This window comes from Homo sapiens, chromosome 2 (assembly GCF_000001405.40).
Source record: "Homo sapiens chromosome 2, GRCh38.p14 Primary Assembly".
NCBI lineage: Eukaryota > Metazoa > Chordata > Mammalia > Primates > Hominidae > Homo > Homo sapiens.
The window spans coordinates 19,989,898-20,014,578 of NC_000002.12; the positions used below are offsets into that span (position 1 = coordinate 19,989,898).

Consider the following 24,681-nt stretch of genomic DNA (forward strand, 5'->3'; position numbering starts at 1 on the left):
CGGGTGAAGGAGCCTGGCTTCTCGGGAAGGCAGCGGGAATCGCCGCAGGCTGCGGGAATGGCGGAGAAACGAGGACGCCCCCCAGGAAACTCACTTTCTTGCTCAGGTAGAAGAACATCGTGGGATCCCCGAGAGGGTCACGGCGGCCGCTAAGGCCCTCGACAAGTAACGGTTCTACGTCTCCAATCGGGAGTACCAGCAGCTCCGGAAAGCTCCCGTCGCCCTGGCAACCGCTGTTGCCCGGTCGCATCCGGGGCGCCGCGGGACACTTCCGGTGACGCCCTCGCACCGGGCACCGGCGTAGTGCGCCTGCGCGGACGTCGATGGGTTTGTGGGCGCAGGGCGCGAGGCGCGAGGCGGTAGCTGGGCTAGTCCTGTTCCCTGGCGTCTGGGCCTTTCTGCTCTCCGCAAGGAGCTGGGTCGCGACCTGTCACTGCCAGCCGTGCGCTCGCCCTCTGCGCCCCGTCTCGTGGTCACTGCCGCCCTCCCTCCCGCCACACCTGTGATGATCGCTATGGAGCCGCGCCTCAGGTGGCATTACTATAAACCTAAGAGGAGAGGCGCCCGTTCGAATAAGGGCAAATTATTTAGTATTTTGTAAGTTCCAAAGTTCCAACATTCTTGAAAGGGAAAAGCCATTTACTGTATTTGATAGGCTGGCGCCACTGGCCAGATGAAAGTGCAAATGTGCGTACTGAGATCTTACAACCCTTCTCTGTGTCTTTGGGGATTGGAGAACCTCTAGAGCAATTTAGGAATAGAAGATTTTGTTTATTCCGCTTGTTTTGATATTTTTTAACAGTTTAATTATTACCGCAACCCCGAGGGTCCTTTTAAAGGAATTTCTGTAAACGTTGGGTAATTACAGCGTACAATTGCTATTGGGGCATGGCCTCCCATTTTACAAATATTTGAGCGTTTGGTGTTTTCTCGTCTAGAGTCGACTGTTACATATTCTCTTCTTTTTCTTACCTTCTTTCTTCATTCTCCTTTGTCCTTTTGGAATGCTTGAGAGTTACAAAGCCTCAAAGTCTAAGGCATAGGGCAGAAATCCAAGTAGAACCACTCATGAAATTATTTGGTCTCACCTATGTTTTTATTTCTGGTTTTCCCTTTTACCATAATCTAGCATGTAATTTATGCATCAGTAGTTAATTTCCCCACTTGGAGTCTTTTCCCATCTCAGACAAAAATAAAATAAAAATCCTCCAATCCTTTGACCTGGGTGATTTGTCTCACCCAGCACAATCTATTATAGAATTGACAATAGTCCCTAGTGCCTTTCCTAGCAAATCTAAACTCCATCCAAAATCAGATCTTCCCTCAATCCTAAATGTTTTTACTAGGGAGCCCCCACCTCAAGTAAGCCAATATGCTTTCTGCAGGGCAACATTCCATCCGGCTCTGCTTCCCAAGCCACTTTATATATGGTCCTACCCTCTTAACAGGCCAGTTGTGCCTAGCCAAACCAGCACAAATCAGTCTCCATGAGGAATTCTTTCCAAACTTAACCCAATCCCATTCAGATAATGTTTGCTTTCCATTGTTTGTGTGTCTGTTTAAGATACATTGGCCCCTGTCCATAGGCTCCCTATACTGGACGCATGAGACAAATTAGTATTATCTAACCCAGGAGTTTCCAATAAACTGGTCAAGACATAATTAGTTGAAGCTAGTTACTGATGGTGACACCTGAAAACTCACCTCTCTTTATCTTTCCCTTCTTGCACATGAACTCTCATTTATTCCTTCTATACCACCATTTCTCTGTGGTATATTAATATGTATTACTGATTTTGGGCTCAAAAAAGTCTGGAAAATACTACTGTAGCTCTATGTCATACCCTTTCAAAATTTTTGAAAAGTAAGAGATGCTTTATATATTTCCTTGGTATATTTAGTTTTTGTTCCTTCCTTAAAGTTTATATTTTATATTTACATCTGTAGGATATATTTGCTTCTCAGGAGCTTATATTAATGTAAAGCTCATCATTATTTTATCCAAATTTAGATAATTTTATATTGAAGCCTTTCTTTTGAACCTGAACTTACACTTTTAGCCTCAGGAGTGTGAGATTAAACTATAGGAGGAGAATCAAACTTCTGTCTTTTGATAAGAAACTGTTGAATATCAAAATAACTGTTAATTCAGTATAATTTAAAGAAATATCTTTAATAGACAAAATTGATGAGTCATCAAAAATAGACATGATAATATGTAAAGGTAATAACTTTTATTATATTAAAGACAATGCAAACGAAAAACAGAATTGAGCAGTGCAAAATTTAAAGGACTGTTTTGTTCTCAAAGTTGCAAGTTTCAAAGCCAAAAGAATTATATGTATCAAATATATAAGTAAAAAAAAGTTAGACTTTCAAGCCTGTAATCCCAGCACTTTGGGAGGCTGAGGCAGGTGGATCACTAACATTAAAAAGACAACATTAGATTTTGTCGATTTATAGCAATTTTATAAATATATAACTTTGTCACTTGGATCCTGAAGCAAAATAATAAAGTGAATTTGGGATTTTTGTACTTGGTAAAAAGTTTAACACCCTAAATTCACAACTAGTGCTCTTTAGTAGTACATTTCTTTCAAAGACCAGAATGAATTAAAAATGGCAATGTAATGTTCACTTGATCTGTGTTAACTATTTTTAGATATGTGTATTACAATCTATTGATCACATCTTCAATAATACTCCAACAAAATAAGCAAAAAACAAAAAGTGTTAAACAGTTCAAAATTACATTCATCTCAGTTATATGAAGTTGTATGTGTAAATACCTTGTACAATTTGCACTCTCAGTAATAAGATTGATTTATATTATAAATACTATCAAAAGAAACTAGACCTAAAGTTTCCATTGTGAATATGGTTATCTAATATAAACATTTAAAAATTAAATGGCTCAATTAGTAGATAAAGAAACACTAAACTTTTCATTCTATTTCCTACCAATCATTTCACAGTCATAACTTAGAGACACTAAAGTTTGCTCTTAATAAGTATCTGCATATGTATTTCCTTGGAAGAATCATGCTGATTCTGCAGAAGATCTTCATACAATTTATCCAGTAATATTCAAGCATTAATACAGATAATGGCAAATTATTAGCAGGAACATTGGCAATAACAGGTGTGCAAAAGAATGCATGAGTATTAAGTACACCAAGCTGTCCACATTTTCAGGTGAGAAATTGGAGCAATTTAACGATGTATTTGTCCATATTCATTTATTTTCAACTTCTCCAAAATGTCATCAAGTGGCAAGTTGTTAAGGCCAACACCATTTATTTTTACACATTAGAAAATATAAACACACTTTCAAACACTTCACAAGATAAAATAATTATGTCCTATGAGAAGTGAAAAAAAAGAGCAAAACTGTTTTCTCACCAAAAGTTGAATTCAGTCTAAAAGTCAAAAATCCTGTTCTTCAGAGAGCACAATAAAAGTAGACCCCTGCAGTGGTCTTCAGATGTTTTTGTTCATATAAAATGTAATTGGAGTAGCATCTTAGTGTGAGGGATGGGGGAAGCAGTGTTTATGAAGTATTGATTAAAGGGATAGTTGGATTGTCCCTTTGTTTGGCTATCTCAAGATTCTGCTGTTCTAACAAATGCACCTTAGTAGATCTAGGGTAAATGAGAAGTATGCCTTTCTTGTGTGAAGTTAGGAGAATGGTGATATGGAAATGAGAGACGGGAAAAGAAAATGCCAGCTGATTCCAAGTAGTGTCTTAAGCAAGTGAAGGATTTGGAAATTGATTCTTTCCAATTATCTGTACCTCCCTTAAAAGTCTCTACATACGCCTAGATTGTACCTACCACAATCTAAATTCCACTCCTCTGGGGTACATAGGAACAGAGTTGTTAACTTGAACTGTTCTGAGAAACTTTTCCCTAGTTACTCCTTTGAAGAAAGAACTGATTTTGAAAGTTTCTGAGATTGTATCATGTTACATTTTAAAATCTGCTTTTTGACCACTTGGCTAGTCAAAGGGTACAACTGTGTGTAATCTGAGATATCACACCCCATTAATCAGCTGACTTGCTTTGTACATGTTCAGATTCTGAACTAAGAAAGCCATATTAAGGAGTCATTAGCATAAATGTTCCATCTGTTATGTAAGAGCATCATTAGGAGCATATACAGTTATGGAAAAGCACTAGGGGACAAAATAGGCAGCTTTTACATGTAAATATTGAATGGGTGAAACAGTCTATTAAACCATTAGAAAAGAACTCTAAATTTTTTAAAGTTGTATATTACCACTGCTCATATTAAAACCTAACAAATAAGTCACTTGCCTGTGGAATGTCTTAAAGTGTTTGGCTCGATCGTAGTACCTTGGTTGGCTCCAGGCAGAAGGAGAAAACCTTCCAGAAAGGATATGTTTAGTGTTCAGTCTTTGAAGATACGAGCTGACCTTGTCCTGGAATGCCAGTGTAGCTTCACATCCACAAGCATCTTCAGTGGAAACAAGTCTTCGTGCTTCCTCAGTGGCTGAAGACAATGACAGTACACAAATATACTATCTAGGAATAGCTATATAGGAATCATAACAAATCAGGAAATCCACAGTTGAATATTTCCACCGTTAAGACTTACCTAAGTGCATTTTCCAAGAGGTAAAGGGATAGATGAACAAACAAAAAGACGAGAAAATACTTATCACAGAAAAATTCATCTTAGGATACATTGGGGAAAATGTTTATAATTGTCAAAGCTGAGTGATGCTTAAGTGAGGGTTCCTTATTTTATTCTCTGTACTTTTGTGATTGCCAGAAATTATTCATGATATAAAGTAAATTTAGAAAAACATGGTTGGTATAGGGGGAGGCCAGGGATATAGAAATAAGACAATGTTTATGTAATACTGTGTAATTAAGAAAGGAAAATGGGCCTGGTGCAGTGCCTTATTCCTATAATGCCAGCACTTTTGGAGGCTGAGGCAGAAGGATCACTTGAGGCCAGGAGTTCAAGACCACCCTGGGCAACGAAGCAAGGCCCTGTCTCTACAAAAAAGTAAAATAGTTAGCCAGGCATAGTGGCACACACCTGTAATCCTAGCTACTCGAGAGGCTGAGGCAGGAGGATCACTTGAGCCCAGGAGTTCAAGGCTGCAGTGAGCCATGATCACACCACTGCACTCCAGCCTGGGTAACAGAGTAAGACCCTGTCTCTTAAAAATAAATAAATAAAAATAAAACTAGGACAATAGTCCTCTATTTGTATGGCTAAAATATACCAAAGATGAAAACTAGGGCCAGGCGCAGTGGCTCACACCTGTAATCCCAGGACTTTGGGAGGCCAAGGTGGGTGGAACGCTTGAAGTCAGGAGTTCAAGACCAGCCTGGACAACATAGTGAAACCCCGTCTCTAATAAAGACACAAAAATTAGCTGGGCGTGGTGGCCCATGCCTGTAATCCCAGCTACTCGGGAGACTGAGGCAGGAGGATTGCTTGAACCCGGGAGGCAGAGGTTGCAGTGAGCTGAGATCGCACCACTGCACTCCAGCCTGGGTGACAGATTGAAATGTCGTCTCAAAAAACAAAACAAAAAAAAAGGATAAAAACCAGGTTAAGTCCTGATTTCCTCTAGAGGACTGTTATTCTATTTAATGGTTTGAAGTAAGAGTCCTAGTTCTTACCAATAAATACTTTGGAACTGAAAATTCACGTTTGTATTGACATTTAACCAAATATGAGAGGTGATAAAAGTAACTCCTATTTCTTTATGGAATTCAGTCAGGCAGCTATTCCTATTCAGTATCAGGGCTCCTCCTAAAGTTGTGAATAGAAATAAGAGTAACTTCCCAGGTCTGAAGACTGGTGTATCATCTTCCAATGGAGTAATTCTATTGCCTGAGGACAGGAAATGGTCCTTTGCTGCAACATTTTTACTCTTAACATTTTACAAAGATCCAATATAGGGATGGGAGATCATAAATTCATTAAATATAATCTATCATCTATCCACCTGTCTGAATCCTATTGAACCTTTTAGGGACAGCCAGTCCAAATCCCATCTTAGTTAATCAGTCAATAAACCAGGAAGTATCTATTGAAGATCAACTACATGTCCATTATCCCTGTACCCATAAGATGGGTATATATAATACTTGTTCAGTGTCTGTCGTGCCTGATAGTCTCTAAGCTCTAGCAGGGCATGGGTTCAGTGGGATAGTCTTAATTACAACACTTCATAGAAAATTGTAAACCTGGATTGTAGAAAAATTGAAAGTTGAGAAATGGATCTCAAACTCCATTTCTCAAACCTGGGTTGTAGCAAAATTGAAAGTTGAGAAATGGAGAAATGGTGCTTATAATAGCACCAGAAGGAATAAAATAGTTAGGAATAAATATTTTTAAAAGTACAAGACTTGTACACTGAAAACTACAAAACAATTTTGAAAGAAATTAAAGAAGACCTAAAATAAAATAAAATTAAATTAAATTAAAGACATACCATGTTAATGCAATGAAAGACTGTTAAAATGGCAGTACTCTCCAGGAAAAGATGCCTCACCTCATTAGTAACCAGGAAATGAAAAAAACATCCACTGGATTGGCAAAAATTTAATTCAACAAAACCAAATGTTGGCAAGCAAATTCTGACAAGCAAAAGCATTGAGGGGAGGGTGGGAATGAGTGAGTGCAGGGCATGCTCCTGGACCATCAAAGAGCCCACTGTGGCTGGACCAGGATGCAGGAAGAAGCAGTGAATCTGGGGGCAAATGTAGTAGAAAAGTTTTAAAAGCCAGGATGAGAGAAGTAGTTACCATGGGCTGAGGGGAGCGGGTGATGGGCAGTTATTGTTTCATCGGCACAGACTTTTATTTTGGGATGATAAAAAATTTCTGGAGATGGATACTGGTGGTGGTTGCCCAACAATGTAAATGTACTTAATGCCACTGAACTATACACTTGAAAATAATTGAAATGGTAAATTGTATGTGTATTTTACCACAATAAAAAAAATTCAGACTTAGGCAGAAAGTTTAGTTATTAAGAAAAATGTGAAAAACAGAGAAGACAGAAACAGATCATGGAGGGTAGGCTGCCTGGTATAGGGGTATCATTGTTTTATTCTGTAGACCAGTGGGAGCCACTGGAGAATTCTGACAGGGAGAAAGAATCACAACTGTGTCTTAGACAGAAAGAAAAAAGCTTGCTCCTGAAAAATTTTCCTACCAAAGGAAATAGCCTTAAAGGGCTGATCCTCACCTGAACATGTTTTCTTGTCCTCATTTAAGGTGTAGCCAGGATAGCAATCACAGTGGTAGGATGCGGCCCCATCACTCACACAAATGTGCTGGCAACCATGAGAGCCTAGGGCACACTTGTCACGGACTGACCGCACGTGGTGCAGGAAAGAAAATATTCACACATTAAATAGAAAAGTAAACACAAATGTTTGAGAGGAGAAGCTTCCATTTGGTCCCCACAAGTGCTGAGAATGTAGTAGTCAGTAGTCAGCAACAGGCCCCATGCTGCAGGAGCAAGCCTGTTTTCTCTTCCCATACCTCTCATCCCTTTGGCCTCACATCACACACACTCCTTTCCTTTATATCTCTCACAGATATCTAAGGGTACCTTTCCTTTTTTTCTACCCACAGCACTGGGCAGCACTGAGTCTTGACTATATTCCAGAACTTACCTCCAGCCTTTCCCGATGACTATCAATGCTTCTAGCATCCCCAGCTACTCATGGATCATCATCATCATCACCAAAAGTAATGTTTTAGGGACCTAATCATACATGGAGCTAAGTTTGATGCTGCACAAAAAGCACTATATTGACCAAGTGCCTGCCTTCATAGCTTACAAAGTGTAACAGAAAAGACTGACCAGGAGACACATGCACACACACACACACACACACAAGCACAGATGGGGAAATGATACAGGGTTAGTAATGATGATGTGTATGATTAGAGAGTGAAGTACTTACTATCTATCACAAATAACATTTCAGGGACAAATGCAGTTTGCCCAAATTTGAGTGGAGAGGAGAGCAAAGTGCCATACTCATCCCATGTTCAGACTGGCCTAGGACAAATAAAACAGTAATTCTCCTTTGAAATCCAGAAAGCCTTCCTGGAAGACATAGGTTCCTCCTCTGCCATTGCAGGAACCAAAATAGTTTATTTCCCTCTAATTTTCCTCTTAAATGTCATTTCATGGGCAGAACCTTTTGTGGCTCACTAATGCCTATAGAATAGCTTCTTGTGAAATGTGAGACGCTATATAATCTATACATAAAGTGCCTTTCCAACCTTAATATGGCTATTCCCTTTCAGTGCTACAATTTAGATTTTTTTTTCAGCAAAATGCCTTATAGCAGGGTGTTTCATTTTTTTCCCCCTCATTCCAGGTTAGTACCCACTCTACAGGTGGCAAATGGACATGCTTCCAGCCCCTGGCCCTTATTTGGGGCTCCACATTTAATTTACAAGCCTTCCTACCACTAGCAACGGAAAAGCAGACCATTAGAAGGGATCTGATCCATGGTATGTTCCCCAGCTTTATAGCAGTATTCACTATTACTTTAAAATATATAAATAGGCCAGGCACAGTGGCTCACACCTGTAATCCCAGCACTTTGGGAAGCCAAGGCAGGTGTATTGCTTGAGCTTAGGAGTTCAAGACAAGCTTGGACAAAATGTCAAAACCCCATCTCTACAAAAAAATACAAAAATTAGCCAGGTGTGGTGGCATGTGCCTGTAGTCCTAGCTACTCAGGAGGCTGAGATGGGAGAATCACTTGAGCCCGGGAGGTAGAGGCTGTATGAGCCAAGATCACACCACCGCACTCCAGCCTGGGTGACAGAATGAGACCCTGTCTCAAAAAAGAGAAGAAAAAAAAATATATATATATATAACTAACTTTCCCACTAGTATTCTTTCTCTTCTGTCCCTCTTCACTGTCCTGTGCTTTGTACATTAAGACAGTAAGGCTTAGTGGTTAAGAGCCTATGTAACCACTAGAGGAAGTACCTGGGTTCAAACCCTGGGTCTGCTACTTGCTAGCAGAGTAACCATGGGCAAGTTACTGAATCAGTTTCCTCCTAACGTTGCTGTGAGTATTAAGGTACATTACTGTATCTAAAATGCCTAGAATCCTGCATGGCCTACAGTAGGTATTGAAGAATATGGAATACTGGCATCTGGGAGTGTTGTCTGCCTTAACTGAAAATTTTCTTTGATTTATGTTTTTTTTTAAAATAGATTGCTTCACTTTATTCCATACTATCTGTTAGTTTAAATGGAAATTTGTTTTTGGTTTGTTTTCCCAGGTCTTCAATGTTCCTGGCAGCTTAAAGTACCAACTGGGACACTTGTCACTAGTTTGAGAAGTGCAGCCATAGGTGAGTTCTCTCCACCCCAACTTTCTTAGTCATCCTGCCCTGAACAAATCAGCTCAAGCCAGTCCCCCGCCAGTGCCACTTTCCACTTGTCTCCATTGAAACCTTCACCCTCCTTCAAGGCCCACCACCAGCCCTTCGCAGATGCCCACCTCCCCAGCCTCTACAGCCCTTTGTTTCCATCAGTCCCTCTCCCTGGCTCAGTCTCTGCTTTCATAAGGAGCCGGCTCTCTGTTCACCCAGATTTAACTTGCTCAGAGGCAGAAACTTAGGCTTCTTTGTATGCTCCCAATGCTTAGTTCCATACTGGGAACAAAGTAGGTGTCCGGTATTTTTTTACTGGTTTCCCTTTAAAAAAAAAAAAAAAAAAAAAAAAGAGGGGACTGGGTGACATGCCATTTCCCTTTGTCTATCTTGATGAAGTCTGTATGTCCTCAAGGGAGAGGAAAATATATGTCAAATCTAAAACACATTCAATATGCCAAAGCTAAACGGCACCTTGAGAGCTTGGAATTTCTCTCAGGAGTGTTTTTACATTTATAAATGCCACCCTGTCCTGCCAGTAAGTTTAAATCAAATTAATGAGGATTAACAGCACTGGCCTGGGCTCATTGGCCAACGTATAAGGCTGAGTTTCACCAATGATTGATCGTCTAGAAACTGCCAGGGAGTGACTGGCCTCAAACTTACTGGAAGATCTGTGTGGGTCTAATTCAGGCATTCACAAAGTCTTCTTTACTAAAATCATCCAGCTTTAAGATTAACACTACAGAAAAGTTCCAGGCCAAGTTTTAACTGGAAAAAGATCAGTTCATCCTATCACACCAAATAGTTACTGTCCAACTGACTTCCACTAAAGTTTTCTCTTTGCTTAAAAGTCTTCAGTGTACAGAGCTATAAAATTTTCCTGGATAAGGACCCTACATTTAGTTAGTTTTTCTCATATCCCCCACTCCCTACCTATTTCCCAGTAATTTTCTGAAGTAATCTATGTTTGCTCCAGTGAGCTCACCACCCTCTGAGCAATGTGTGCCTTCATCTAAAAGTGTGATAGAATGTCTGAACCTTGATCTTAAGTTACCTTTAAAAACCTCTTTGCTGGTGAGTTGCAAGTTGGTTTCATGTGAAAGACCCAAGTATGAAAGAATTTTTTGAGTGGATCTTACCTGAACATGTTTTTTTATCTGCATTCAGAGTGTAGCCCTCATAGCATTCACAATGATGGGACCCTGTTCTGTCATTCACACAAATGTGCTGACACCCATGGGTACCCAAAGCACATTTATCTTGAGCTGTGAAACAAAAAGTCAGGAGAAAAGAAATAGAAGGTGGAAAAGTATTTTATTACCCAGGATAGAAACCTTATTTGCAGCTGGAAACATATGAGGAAAACTTACTGGAAACTATTCAAAGCCATTGGCACTGTTTTTTTCTAACTAGAAGTTAACTGAGTTAAGTGAAATCCTGCACATACAATAATTATTCTCTGACCTTCCACAATTGCTTTTGGAAATCATCAGTATTGAGTTTTTATAACCTAAGTATCTCATAAATACTTTCTAGCATTCCTTTTAGGCTTATTGTACTTATCCCAACTCAGCGGGATACCAACAGTTGTGTGGCTAATTACATTAGATTCAGAAAAACATAGAATTAGAGTTTGAAGAAATTGTAGTTCAACCCTCTCCTATTTTTTAAATGAGGGAAAGGAGCGCGAGGGAGACCATTTGATTCAGAGCAGCATAAAAACTCAAGACACACATTTTCATTCAATGCACTTTCCTCTCTACTGATATATTTTTAAACTATTTTTTACTTTTAAACTTTTCATCTGAGATAATTTCAGATTTATGAAAAGGTTGCAAAAACAGTGCAAAAAATTCCTGTACTTCACCCTGTTTCCCCAAACAGTAATTTACATAACCATAGTATGATTATCAAACCAGAAATTAACATTGATATAATATGATTTACTAATCTACAGACTTTATTCAAATGTTGCCATTAATGTCCTTTTTCTGGTCCAGGATCCAATCCAGGATTCCACATTGCATTCAGTTTCACATCTCCGTCCTCTCCAACCTGGGACACTTCCTAAGTCTTTCTTTGTCTTTTATGACTTTCACGTTTCTGAGAAGTACTGGAAAACTATTTTGTGAACTGAGAGTGTCTCTCAGGTTTTTCTAATCTTTCCTCATAATCCTGAATTTTTAGCAAGAATACTACAGGTGTGCTGTTGTGTCCACAGTATTGAGCACAGCATGTCAGGTCATACATGATGTCACTATGTGTCATCACTGATGATGTTAACTTTGATCACTTAGTTAAGGTGATGTCTGCCAGTTTCTCCACTATAAAGTTACTGTCTTTCCCTTTGTAAGCAACAGGTAACTTGTGGGTTGTTATGTGATTTCAACCTACTGAATTGTCTGTAGCATTTGGGAAGGATTGTTCAGGCTGGCTACAGAGAAGGAAATGAGCAACATATTTATGTATTTGGGCCGAGATACATACATGTTACCATTTCTAACATTTTGGATAAGACTTAAAAATGGGAAAAGCTCAAGGTGGCAAGAGAGGAAAACACACCAACTTCCCAGTCAATGTGACCTGCCCTTCCATCACCGGGTAGGTAGGCAGAGAGCTAAGTAGCAATAGTAAAGACTCCTCCCTCACTTACCTGAACAAGTTTTCCTGTCTTCATTCAAGGTATAACCTTCATAGCACTCACAATGATAAGAGCCACTTCTGTCATTCACACAGATGTGCTCACATCCGTGGGTGTTAAGAGCACACCTATCAAGAGCTATCAAAAGATGATTGGGACAAATGTAAATGCATGCAGAGCATGGCAGAAATAATTGTGGGCCACGCCACTTACAGTTATACACACACACACACACACACACACACACACAGAGCTAATGAAACAAGGGAGGGGCAGCTGGGAGTTGGGAACCAACCCTCCGGTCTTGGCTCTTTCACTAAGAGACCCTGTGACATAGGTAAGTTTTTTCCCTTCTGTCCATCTCAATTTCATTATCTATAAAATTAAGTTATCTCTAAGCTTTCTTCCTCCCAAAAACTTTTTTCTAGGATTAAAAACAAAACAAAAAAATATATAATTCCCATTCCTCATTGACTCCATGTATGTATCTATGTACCAGACCAGTGAGTACCCCTCTAACTTCTTTGCTACTTCTAGATTCCATGAGCATCTATGACTAGAGAGGAAGAGGGTAGCTTGCATGTAATGAAATAAAATCCAGGAAAATTTTCAAATCCTCAAAAGGGCTAAGAATCTTGGACCCGTTTCTTTTCCTTTTTGTGTGTGTGGGTTCTGTTTTCTGAAAGAAGGTCTCCCTCTGTGGCAGTGCAGCAGAGGCATTATCATAGCTCACTGCAGCCTCGACCTCCTGGTCTCAAACAATCCTCCCATCTCGGCCTCCCAAGTAACTGGGACTACAGGCATGCACCACCACACCTGGCTTTTTTTTTTAAATTATTTTTTGTAGAGATGGGGTCTCACCATGTTCTCGAGGCTAATCTCGAATTAGCCTCAAACTATCCTACCATCTCAGCCTCCCAAAATGTGGGAATTATAGGCATGAGCTACTGCACTCAGCCTGGACCTCTTTCTTAGTAGCCTTTTCTCCTACGATTTTATTTAAAACTTACAAAGTATGGAAATAAGCTGATTTATCTATCATTTCACTTTTCTCCCTAAGCTCCTTTTCAGGGAAAACTGCTGATGAACACCAGTAAACCAGCCAAAAGGCAGTTAGGTAAAAAGGGGTCAGAGAGTCAAAGCACAAGGCCAGTCCAAAACCTGGAGCATAGGTTCCCAAGTATTTGATTCAGTCACGGCCCCCTACACAGGCCTCACCTGAACACGTTTTCTTGTCGGCATTCAAGGTGTATCCTTGGCTACACTCACAGTGGTGCTTGCCTTCCCCATCACTGATGCAGACGTGCTGGCACTGGTGTGTTCCAAGCACACAGGGGTCCAGCGCTGTGAGAGGAAGTTTACAACAGTCAGCACTGACACTTAGGAAACATCTCAGATACCGTCTCCCATGTCAATAGACATTGCTCTCTGGGCTCCTTTCCGAGTCCATCTTTACTTCACTATAAAAAAATGGTTATTTGTTTTCTGCCTCTGGCTTATTAGCAATGCTACTCTTAAACTAGAAATTGTTGCTAATTTAAAAGTACACATCTTGCTATATAGACTTTCTCAAGGGAGAAAGGGAATTTGGAGTTTGGAGCTGAAGCCAAACACTTACATAGGCCAGGCAATTGGATGTTTTATTTGGCTTATCCGCCTCCCCATGAAAAAAAGATTTGTGCTTCCCCACCACAAGAAATGGGAGAACAATAAATGCACAGCCTGAAGTGACGTGAGCTAGTTGTCCCATTGTAGCCAGAATCTGATTTCCAAGGTTCTATAGCCTATGTCTAAACAGAATTCTCACACAAGTCTGGGTCTAAGCCTAGAACGAACTCACAGGTGGGCAGTGGTACATATTTGAACATGCAAATGGTAGAGGACAGTTCGGGTAACTGTCTTCTGAATATGTAAGGTGGGTGAAGTCATCCATACGCTAAATCCATAGTGAACTCATATGCTAATACAAACAGGTAAAAAGAAAAGAACAAAATAAATGAGATTACATTAGCTAAACTACATCTCCATCTTATTGCTCCTGGAGCCATTTATATCTCATTGGATATTTTTTTCCTAGTGACCTCTTTTGAAAGATGAATCAATGAATTAAGTCATTTCTGAGAAACCAAGGAGGCCTGTTGAAGGAGGCTGGCCCTCCTGTGGCAGGTAACCCAACCTCCACTGCCCTTGGCAACAGGACAAGGCTAATATTTTCCCAAGAAGGGCCTTTTCATGGAATGATCTTTCCAACCCGTTGACTACAACAAGCTGCCGCTCAGTCTTTTTTCCATAGAGAGGACGTTTTTCCCCCAGAACAAGCAGGTCTTTTGTACCAGAAGGAAAAGATTGCCACTCACCACTTGTTACTTTATAGCCTTCGAAGCCCAACCCCAGGTGCTAGCTTTGAAACCCAACTTTGCCACAGACCAGCATGTTGATGGAGAGGCTCTCACCCACAAGCATGGAGTGGGAGGGTGATTTCCTGGGAGAAAGAAAGCCACTTTCTTTTTGGAAGCCAACGAATGCCAAGTAGATGCCACCAAAGCCAGTGATGGCTTGTGAAAGCCCAGTGTCCTGGGACAGGAAAGACAAGGGGATCCCAGCCAAGTCTGACTGCAATGAGGCCAAACGTTGCCCCAGAGCAAGACTTCATCTCCCTTTTCCTGACAAACCATTGATGGCTGCGTTTCACATTAACCTAGATTAAAAGTCTCCTTGAAATGTATAATTGTAATTAATTATTGGTTCATTTGTTTGTCTCACCCCCACCCCCAGAATGTTACTTAATGGTATGGAGGGATTACCTTTATCTTTGTATCATCAGAGATCAATAAATGCATGCTGAATAAATAAGTGTGAAATAAATTATATTGCAAAAAGATATCTATGTTTAAAAATTCACCTGAACTAGAAATTTGTCCACAACTGCTTGGATATTCACATAGAGGGAACAAAAGATTATCTCCAGATGATAAAAAAATAAAGCATGAGTCCCACAGATCATAATTCTGATCAGTGACTAAAATTAAACTCCAGCATTGAATGGATCTGTAGTCCTAGATTTGGTCAATTCATGCTAAAAATTCCAATAAAATTAGCATGTCCTTATTCAAATTCCATCCTAAAGGATGGAAGGAGTAGCAGAGTTAACAGAATGATTTCTTAAGATCATCTTGCTTTCTTTCAAGTGAGCTGAAACCCTAATCTGCCTGGTCCCTGAATCCTGTTCTTCAACAAAGAGTAATCAGATAAACAGCCCAGTCTGAAAACCAGAGCATTCACTAAATGCACACTCGGGCTGACGGTGACATTGGAATAGAGGCCTGCTGACTCTCCCAAGGACAGACGCTTCTCCCTGTCTTCTGCAGGAGAACAAACAGAGTTCTGTTAGATCTAGAGATGGTAAAACTAAAAAAATATGTATCAGGGGAAAAAAATGTAGTGGTGGGGCAGAGGGGACAGGAGAGGCATCTTGAGTTTTGTTTTTCCTGACCCTGACAGGGAACAGCAGGGTCATTTATCCTGGATATTTGCAGACCTTCACAGTTCTAACGCAAACATGAAGATTTTATGAGCAAACCAAGTTCCATATAATGCAGCTCTATATTCCTAAACCAATAGAGTGTGTTTAGGTTGGTCGCACACACGCGCGCATGCACACGTGCACACACACACACGCATTGGATATATTTAAGTTTTTCATTAAATTTCCACCAAAAAAGAATAATACTCTTTTCTCTGGGTACACAATGTCTGAATATAACATCCTTTCTAGTTGGAAGCAAAGACTGACCAACTTACCACAGAAGGTTTCCTGGAATCTAGAGGAAAGTTTCTCAATGACCCCATAGGTCTCCACGTAGAAAACATGCTCCTCTAGGGGCTCACTGGCCATCATCTTGAGGGACGCCATGTCTGCCCGGTCCACGCCCACAGCATAGAGCTCAATACCAGATGCTTGGGCCCGAGCCGCCACCTCATTCACCTGGTCCTGGGGCCTCCCATCTGTAACAATGATGGCCACCTTAGGGATGTTAGAAGAGGGCTCTCGAGCCCCTGCCTCCACTGTGAAGGCTTCGTCCATTGCTGTCTGGATGGCTAGGCCTGACATGGTGCCTGTTGACAAGGGTGTGATTCGACCCACGGCCTGCTTCAGGGACTGCTTATCTGTGTAGGCCTGGAGTTGGAACTCGATCTTCACAGTGCTAGCATAGTTCACCACTGCCACCCGCGTGTCGGCTGGCCCAATGTCCAGAGTGTCGATTATCCGGGAGACAAAAGTTTTCACTTTGGTGAATTCCAGGGGCCGTACGCTACGAGAACTATCAATGATAAACACCAGGTCCAAGGGTCTGCTCTTGCAAACACCTGCAAAAGACCAAGCAATGATCAGACCACAATTAGAAATGCAGTAATCCTCACTTCCAGAGAACTCTGGGATTCCAGGAGGCCAGGCAAGGCAGCATCTCCTGACCCCAACATCACCACTGCCTGCGACCTTCCCCAAGACCATCGGGGTGTTGAAAGCACCAAGGACTTCAGAATTCCCTAGTGAGAATTCACCTGGAGGTGTGAAGTTTCCCCAAATACCTCACCTGCAGGCTGGCTGAATCCTGAAATTTCACTTAGAACCTCATCCCTCTGCTTAAGCTTTTGCTCCCAAGGGCCCTCATGATTCCTGGGAATTAATAGATTCTACACATTTCTTAAGTACCTTGGCTATCTGGAGCAATTGGACAATGTGTCCCTGAACCATGTAAAAGGCCTTGGGCCCTCAGGGACAGCCTCACTGCCAACCACTGTGCCCAAGCCTCAGGCAATGGTAGTCTGAGGCAAGGCACTCAGGGGCTCTTCTGGTGGCCCCCCTCTTTTACTCCACTTCCAAGGGGCTGAAAACTGCTCCAGAGTATCCCTGAATTCTCCCTCCATCTGGCCATCTTTCCTGTTTAGTGAATTTGGGGGCTCACTGGAGCCCTGAACTAATTTAAAGTAGAGCCAGGCGTGGTGGCTCATGCCTGTAATCCCAGCACTTTGGGAGGCCAAGGCGGGCAAATCAAGAGGTCAGGAGATCAAGACCATCACGGTGAAACCCCGTCTCTACTAAAAATACAAAAAATTAGCCGGGCGTGGTAGTGGGTGCCTGTATTCCCAGCTACTCGGGAGACTGAGGCAGGAGAATGGCGTGAACCTGGGAGACAGAGCTTGCAGTGAGCTGAGATTACGCCACTGCACTCCAGCCTGGGCAACAGAGCGAGACTCCGTCTCAAAAAACAAAACAAAAAAAAAAGTAAGTAGAAAGAGGGGCCCGGGCGCGGTGGCTCACGCCTGGTAATCCCAACACTGTGGGAGGCCGAGGCGGGAGGATCACCTGAGGTCAGGAGTTTGAGACCAGCCTGGCCAACTTGGTGAAACCCTGTCTCTACTAAAAATACAAAAATTAGCGGGTCGTAGTGGCATGTGCCTGTAATCCCAGCTACTCGGGAGGCTGAGGCAGGAGAATCGCTTAAACCCGGGAGGTGGAGGTTGCAGTGAGCTGAGATCCTGCCATTGCACTCCAGCCTGGGCAATAAGAGCAAGACATCATCTCAAAAAAAAAGTAGAATGAGGGATGCCAACTTAATCTTGTATCTGTTTAGTGAGCTTCCAGCTTCATGAGCATGTCTCGTAAGAAGCAGGGATTGTGATCTGGTATCTACCCTACTGCCCCAACTAACTCTCTTGGTCATCTCTCTTTTGACTTATTCATTCACCAAAAACATTTTTTGAGGGCCTACATGTATGAAGCCCTGGAGCTACAAAAGCATATAAACCAGATAGCCAGATTTCCCACCTTCAAAGAATTTATCTCTTTTCTACACAAAAGTACCTAACAGTTTAGTATCACAGTACATTTTAGTGTTCATCTATTCTTTCCTGTTCTTTCCTGTTTCCCCCAACCCCTGTTTGCACACCCTCTCTCCTCGATACAAAAATCAAATCCACAAGTCAGGATGAGACAAGAAAAAAAGCCAATTATTAAACTTCTTTTTCTTTTTTTTGAGACGGAGTCTCATTCTGTCACCCAGGCTGGAGTGCGGTGGTGCAATCTTGGCTCACTGCAACCACCACCTCCTGGGTTCAAGCAGTTCTCCTGCCTCAGCCTCCTGAGTAGCTGGGACTACAGGTGTGCGCCACCACACCCAGCTAATTTTTGTATTTTTCATAGAGACGGGGTTTCACTATGTTGGCCAGGCTGGGCTCAAACTCCCAACCTCAGGTGATCCTCCCACCTTGGCCTCCCAGAGTGCTGGGATTATAGGTGTGAGCCACTGTGCCCAGCCCTAAACTTCTTTTTCAAGTCATTCCCCCTTCTCACCCAACACACGCATGCAGCCCTAAATGGAAATGAGGTCCTGGGGCATGAAGTGTCACTCAAGGCTCTTTCCTTTCCTAATAAGGAGGCAGAAGTTGATGCTACTCTAGGAAGGTAATACTTAGTAGGAAAAAAAGGTGATTCAAAATTAATGCCTAGACTAAGCAGTTTATAGAAAAAAATTAAAGCCTTACCTGGAACAGCCTACCTTATGTCTCTGTCTAGTTTTCTTTTAAAAGCAGAAAATTATCTTCTTGTTTTTAGCCTGCTGCTTGGAGGTATTTAATTAACAAAAAGAAAATCTTCCTTTCAGTAACACTTTAGGAATCGCAAGGTACCAACACATCAACCTGTGAGGCTGGAGGTGCAGAGGTGGTTTTTATATTCATTTTACAGGTGAGAAACCTGAGGTTCAAGGAGGTGTGAGAACTAGAAAGTGGTAGAGCATGGATTGGACTCCAGGTTTCCTGACTCCCAGTCCCTGGGAGCTTGCTACTGAATCCCAGTTACCTCTCTCTGAGGCAACATTTTCCTCCACAAAAATCAACATTCTCTCATGTATTCAGTAAACATCCTGCTTGTTGACTTTAAGTCACCGCCCTGAAATATGCTGTATGTCATGCATTTAGTTAAGTCAAAAGGAATTAAACCCAGGCGCAGTGGCTCACGCCTGTAATCCCAACACTTCGAGAGGCTGAGGGAGAAGGATCACTTGAGCTCCGGAGTTCTAGACCAGCCTGGGCAACATAGGGAGACCTCATCTCTATAAAAAGTTTAAAAATTAGCCAGGCATGGTGGCAGGCACCTGTAGTCCCAGCTGCTTAGGGGGCTGAGGCAGGAGGATCGCTTAAAGCTAGAGAGTCAAGGCTGCAGTGAGCCACAATCACACCACTGCACTCCAGCCTGGATGATAGAATGAGACCCAGTCTCTAAAAGCCAAAAAAAAAAAAAAGGAATCAAAATTCTTTCTTTCTTTAAAAAAAAAAAAAACAACTCCAGCAGCCATAAAAAAGAATGAGTCCATGTCCTTTGCAGGGACATGGATGAAGCTGGAAGCCGTCATTCTCAGCAAACTGACACAGGAACAGAAAACCAGACACCACATGTTCTCACTCATAAGTGGGAGTTGAACAATGAGAACTCATGGACATAGGGAGGGGAACATCACACACCAGCGCCTGTCAGGGGGTGGGGGGCAAGAGGAGGGAGAGCATTAGGACAAATACCTAATCTATGTGGGGCTTAAAACCTAGATGATGGGTTGATGGGTGCAGCAAACCACCAGCGCACATGTATCCCTATGTAACAAACCTGCACATTCTGCACATGTATCCCAGAACTTAAAGTAAAATAATAATAATTTTTTAAAAAGATCTGAATAGGAAACATTTGTCATCTATTGTCTCTAAGGGTAGCCACTATAAGACTTCAAAAGAACATTGGTCTTTACAGTCTTTTATCTTAACCTGAACATTTCCTTTCTATGGATCCCAGGTCTTTAGGCAAATGCAACCAATTATCAACCAGAAAATATTTAAACTTACCTATAGCCTGGAAGCCCCTCACCACCACCGGCTTTGAGTTGTCCCACCTTTTAGGACCAAACCAATGTATTTCTTAAATGTATTTGATTGATGTCTCATACCTCCTTAAATTGTATAAAAACAAGCTGCACCCTGACCATCTTGAGCACATGTACTCAGGACCTCTTGAGGGCTGTGTCACAGACCATGGTCACTCATGTTTGTCTCAGAATAAATCTCTTCAAATACTAAAAAAAAAAAAAAAAAAAAAAACCTCCAGAATTTTACTTCATTCCTGGAAAGTCCCATAGATCTAGAGCTAGGAAGAAGAATTATGTTGAAAATCTTTCCTGGAGATGGGTCAAAGTATTTTTGTATAATTAGAAAAAGAAAAGGTGGGGGTAACATGAAGATATGAACTCTGTAATTGACAGTGCTTTCACCAGCACCCAAATGGTGTCCTTATAAATATCATGGCTATGTTCTTATAACTAAACGTGCATGATTCTTTCCTTCTCCACTTGGTTATTCACACCGAATCCTCTATTCGGGGTGTGGTATGCAGAATAATGTCCCCCGCCAAAGACGTCCACGTCCTAATTCCAGAGACATGTTACTTTTACGTGGCAAAGAGCAGAGACTTTGCAGGTGTGATTAAGTCAAAGAGCTCTACACAAGAGGTTATCCTGGATTATTCAGTGAGTCAATGTAATTATAAAGTAGAAGAGGGAGGCAGATGAAAGAAATGTGAGTAACTCAATGGGAGAAGGCCTCAACCTGCTTTAGCTGGCTCTGAAAATGGAAGAAAAAGGCCATAAGCCAAGGAACTCAGCAGCCTTCATGCGGTGGAAAGGGAAGGGAAATGCAGTCTCCCCTAGAGCCTCCCAAAAGGAACACAGCCCTGCCGACACCTTCATCTTAGCCCAGTGAGACCAGGGTCAGACTTCTGACCCACAGAACTCTCAGGTAATAAATGTGTGTTGTCTTAAGGCACTAAATTCACAGTAATTTGTTACAGTGGCCATAGAAAACTAATACCTGAGGCTTGACCATGGTGGCAGAAAATTCTGTGAACATCTGGTTCCTTCCTGACTGGTACTCCGCATCAATCATTAGTTGTTTTTGAATCTCACTCCCATTTACTAAATAGCAGCAATTTGATTCCCAAGAACAAAGAAAGAATCTGAATCTCCTAAAATGTTCCCATACTCATAATACCACTGAGTCCTTACAGTCCTGCTAGAAATAAAAATCCATAGCGAAGCTTAGCAATTTCTGGTTGCTAAAAGGAGATAATTTGGAACAGGGTGGAATCTCGCATTTATTAATGGGTTATCATTCATGATCAGGTTCGGACTCTAGGTAATGAAAGACCAGTAAAGCTTAGGGGGACATGGCCACCTGGTGCTGAATCTCTCCTTCCTCTTCCAGTCCCATCCCAGAGGGAGGCAGGTCAGGACTAGAGTAAGATTAACTTCCAGAAGAAAGGCTTTCCCTCAATTCCCGGCCTGGAGCAACCAGCCACCAGCTGAATCTAGCCCTGTGGACCCCGGTACCTCCTGCCTTAGCAGCAATGCTTTTGCCATTTCAAATCTGCCACTTCAAATACGGGGACTGAGTATTTGAGTCAGGAAAGAGTCCCTTGAGCTCCTTCTCAGCTTATCCAGAAAGATGCAGAAGGGGATAGACAATTGAAATCAGCCTGAGGCATGCAGCGTGGCTGGCCAAATGAGACTGCATACCCAGAAATGGCCTGGCACAGACTCTTTTTAGCAAGACTGAAGCTGCGCTTTTTGGAAATGAAGATACAATCTTATGTAAACCATATTAAGAGGTTGGTAGGCTGGGGCAGTGGAAAGAGACCTTGCTTGGGATTTCGGAGCCCTGAATTTTATTGTGGCCTCTGATACTGATTCACAGAGTCCCTTCAACTTGATATGCCTCAGTTTCCCTTCATGTGCTGTCAGGGGCTGTGTCAGACGACCTGCCCGCTTCGCTGCACTATGAGCTTTGCTCTGCTTCAGGAATCAATTGCTGACCAAAAAGAGAAATAGAATTGTTCGCCAAAGACCCAGAGTGTCTTGATCCTGGGGTATCCTACGGCTCCTCGGATCTCCTCCTGGTCTCACACCCGCATCCCTTACCTTCCAGTCTGAGGCAGCCTGAGGACTGTGGGAGGGGAGGAAAGATCACGCCCTGATATTGGATGGAGATGGAGAGATTCCAAGAGAACTAACAGCAGAGTCTCAGGAAGGGTTTGCTCACTGAATGGAGAGGTCAGGACTGGGACGGAGCTTAGCAGCAGCCGCTGGGCAGCAGCCCCTGCGCTCCCCAGCTGCCCTGTGCTCCTGGCCGAATCACAGGGGAGTGAGAGCTTCAGGAGACCCACATCTCTAGCCTGGACACATGAGTGATATTGGGCATCTCCCTCCCCTTCTCTGGACCTCAGTTTCCCCCACAGGATTCATCCGGGAGGGGCCTCTTTCCCCCGCACCACGGTCGGCCTGAGGCCGGGATGAAGCGCGCTTGGTGGATGCCCTGGGCTTCTCCTCGTTCGATGCTCACGCGTCCCTCCCGCCGCCCGCCTGTACCTGCACCGCGGGCGCGGCCAGGCTCGCTGGTCCCGGAAGCGGGCGCGCCGTCGGGAGCCGCAGGAGAGGGGCGGCGTCCAGGGCTGCCCCCGGGACCTCGGGTCTCCAGCCTCCGGAAGCCCGGGCGGGCCACGGGGTCGGGGGCGGCGGAGGGCAGCAGCAGCAGCGGCCAGAGCAGCAGGAGGAGTCCCGGGAGGCGGCGCGCGGGGGCCGGGCGCGGCATGGTGGGCTCCGTGGGCCTGGTGGTGTCCGTCGGGGGCCAGGAGCCCACGCGAGGCTCGGATTTAAAGGTCCCGCGGCCTCGGGCCCCGCCCCGCCCCGGGGCCTCGAGCGCCAGGCCGGCCCGGCGAACCCCGCCCAAGGCCAACAAGGAGCCTTGTCCGCGCATTCCAGCGGCAGAAACGGAATGTCTGGGCGAGGCGGCCAGCGGCGCGGTGGTCACCTCCCGCCCCTGCCCTAAGCCCCGAGCCGGCTGCAACTGGGTGGGCTCGGCTGCTGTCGCAACCTCCGTCCTCCCAGTAACACCGGGGCAGGGGGGGCAGCCATCCGCGGCTGCAGCCTGCCCGGCCCTCCACTCTCCCTCCCACCCCAGCGGGGCCTGCGCCCCAGGTACGGGATGGGGACCCCTGGGCTCTGCTTTCCCTTCTGCCACTGGTTTGCCCGACTGGGGCTGAAGATGAAACCCTGCTCCTAGCTCTACATTCCTTTCCTCAGCCAAGTAACCCAAGTTTTGCTGTGGGCTCTTGTTTAAAAAAAAAAAAAGAAAGAAAAGGCCTCACAGATTCTAGGGGCATGAATAGAAACGCTTTCATCCGAGCTTCAAATATCCACAAACATTTGAACTTATATTACCGGGAATAGAAAGTCAAACATACATTCCCCAGAGAGCCCCGTTAGCTGGAAGGACAGCCTGTACCAACACAGGCTTCAAAGGCTCTCCCGAGGCCCCATTTCCTCTCCGGAAGAGTTAGCATGGTACAGGGCTGGAGGCTGCCAGGGGACCCCCATGGAACTCACTGTCTGTGAGAAGGAGATTTGCATAAATGTGGTGTCTGTCTACGGGAATGTGGTGGATTTAGGAAAGAGATACTGACTGCCTGCGGAGACCAGGAAGACTTCTAAAACCAGGTGACATTTGAGCTGCGTCTTAAAACAATGGGCGCGAGTTCCAACAGAGCCTATCTGGTCGTCCTATTTCACTATTTTCCCTCTACAAGTGATCCTCCTCACACGATCCTAAACCTCACTTCTCATATTTGTACCCCATGCTGGTAGCAGCATTATACACAATAGCCAAGAGGCGGAAACAACCCAAGTGTCTCTCTTTGTGTGAATGGAAAAGCAAAATGCAGTATCTACGTACAATGGAATACTGTTCAGCCTTAAAAGGGAGGAAATTTTGGCAGATGCTACAAAATGGATGAACCTTGAGAGTATTATGTTAAGTGAAATAAGCTAGTCACAAAAAGACAAATACTGTATGATTCCATTTACATGGGGAATCTAGAGTAGTCAAATTCATAGAGACAGAAAGAATGGTGGTTAACAGGAGCTGAGGGGAAGTGGGGATGGGGAGTTGTATAATGTATCAATGACATTGGGCAGTGATAGTCACACTGAGGGAAAAGGTCACTCAACTCCCACTGAGAACTCACCAATTTAGAAGGACCTTAGAAGAAACGAGAAGTTTGTAATAATGGGAAGAGGACACTAAGAAGTTTGAAAGAAACTATGCCAAGAAGAGGAGGGATTGATAAATACAGTATTTGCAAGCTCTGGTGGACATTTGTCTTTCGTCTTGCTTTTAGAATGATCCCCAAAGCCTTTGAACCCTACATTAGTCAGGGTTCTTGAGAGAAACAAAACCAATAAATTTTATATACACATACATATAGAGAGAGGGTGGGGGGAGTAATTGAGATTATGAGGGATTGGTTCATGCGATTATGAAGGCTGAGAAGTCCCACAGTCTGCTGTCTGCAAGCTGGGGGCCCAGGAAAGCCAGTGGTGTAATCCAGTCCAAGCCTGAAGGCCCAAGAGCAGGAGAGCCAATGACATAAGGCCCAATCTGAGTCCAGAGACCCAAGAACCAGGAATGCTGATGTCCAAGGACAGGAGAAGCTGGTTGGCCCAGCTCCAGCAGAGAACACATTTGCCTTCCACTGTCTTT

The 24,681-nt window shown here is 43.3% G+C and overlaps 2 protein-coding genes and 1 long non-coding RNA gene across 7 annotated transcripts in view, besides 4 other annotated features; 1 reads left to right on the forward strand and 2 right to left on the reverse strand.

Annotated features, from left to right (window-relative positions):
* The window catches only part of WDR35 (WD repeat domain 35), a 79,843-nt gene extending 79,635 nt beyond the window's left edge, over positions 1–208 (reverse strand). For all 5 annotated transcript variants that reach the window (XR_426989.4, XR_939699.4, NM_020779.4 and 2 more), the window contains exon 1: positions 95–208. Coding sequence is in view for 3 of the 5 variants with exons in the window: in NM_020779.4 (NP_065830.2) it covers positions 95–118 (24 nt within the window). In the remaining 2 variants the exon portion in view is untranslated. The remainder of the gene's footprint in view (positions 1–94) is intronic.
* Positions 5–508: an enhancer, noted in NCBI's record as "H3K27ac hESC enhancer chr2:20189663-20190166 (GRCh37/hg19 assembly coordinates)". NCBI's record gives its function as "activates a minimal SCP1, AML or CMV promoter by ChIP-STARR-seq in naive H9 embryonic stem cells {active_cell/tissue: H9 hESC(naive)}" and the evidence as "EXISTENCE:reporter gene assay evidence [ECO:0000049][PMID:30033119]".
* Positions 139–188: an enhancer, noted in NCBI's record as "active region_15372". NCBI's record gives its function as "activates an Ori minimal core promoter by ATAC-STARR-seq in GM12878 lymphoblastoid cells {active_cell/tissue: GM12878}" and the evidence as "EXISTENCE:reporter gene assay evidence [ECO:0000049][PMID:35858748]".
* On the forward strand, positions 307–14,909 carry WDR35-DT (WDR35 divergent transcript). Its single transcript, NR_110235.1, has 3 exons — positions 307–597; positions 9,309–9,380; positions 14,123–14,909. It is a non-coding gene; the product is annotated as a WDR35 divergent transcript (long non-coding RNA).
* Positions 349–428: a silencer, noted in NCBI's record as "silent region_11197". NCBI's record gives its function as "represses an Ori minimal core promoter by ATAC-STARR-seq in GM12878 lymphoblastoid cells {active_cell/tissue: GM12878}" and the evidence as "EXISTENCE:reporter gene assay evidence [ECO:0000049][PMID:35858748]".
* Positions 2,155–22,771, reverse strand: MATN3 (matrilin 3). Its single transcript, NM_002381.5, has 8 exons — positions 22,512–22,771; positions 15,847–16,413; positions 13,264–13,389; positions 12,058–12,183; positions 10,544–10,669; positions 7,237–7,362; positions 4,402–4,512; positions 2,155–3,269 (listed from the first exon to the last, which is right to left on the reverse strand). Exons 1-8 carry the CDS (start codon positions 22,732–22,734, stop codon positions 3,214–3,216), a joined length of 1,461 nt encoding a protein of 486 aa, NP_002372.1. The 5' UTR covers positions 22,735–22,771; the 3' UTR covers positions 2,155–3,213.
* Positions 21,875–22,487: an enhancer, noted in NCBI's record as "H3K27ac-H3K4me1 hESC enhancer chr2:20211533-20212145 (GRCh37/hg19 assembly coordinates)". NCBI's record gives its function as "activates a minimal SCP1, AML or CMV promoter by ChIP-STARR-seq in naive H9 embryonic stem cells {active_cell/tissue: H9 hESC(naive)}" and the evidence as "EXISTENCE:reporter gene assay evidence [ECO:0000049][PMID:30033119]".

Coding starts and splice junctions, on each gene's coding strand:
- MATN3 (NM_002381.5), bottom strand. CDS start 22,734: ATGCCGCGCCCGGCCCCCGCGCGCCGCCTCCCGGGACTCCTCCTGCTG. Junction 16,414..22,511: donor TGGCCGCGCCCGCGGTGCAG/GTACAGGCGGGC, acceptor GGTCTTTTGCAG/GTGTTTGCAAGAGCAGACCC. Junction 12,184..13,263: donor CGACAAGAAAACGTGTTCAG/GTGAGGCCTGTG, acceptor ATCTTTTGATAG/CTCTTGATAGGTGTGCTCTT.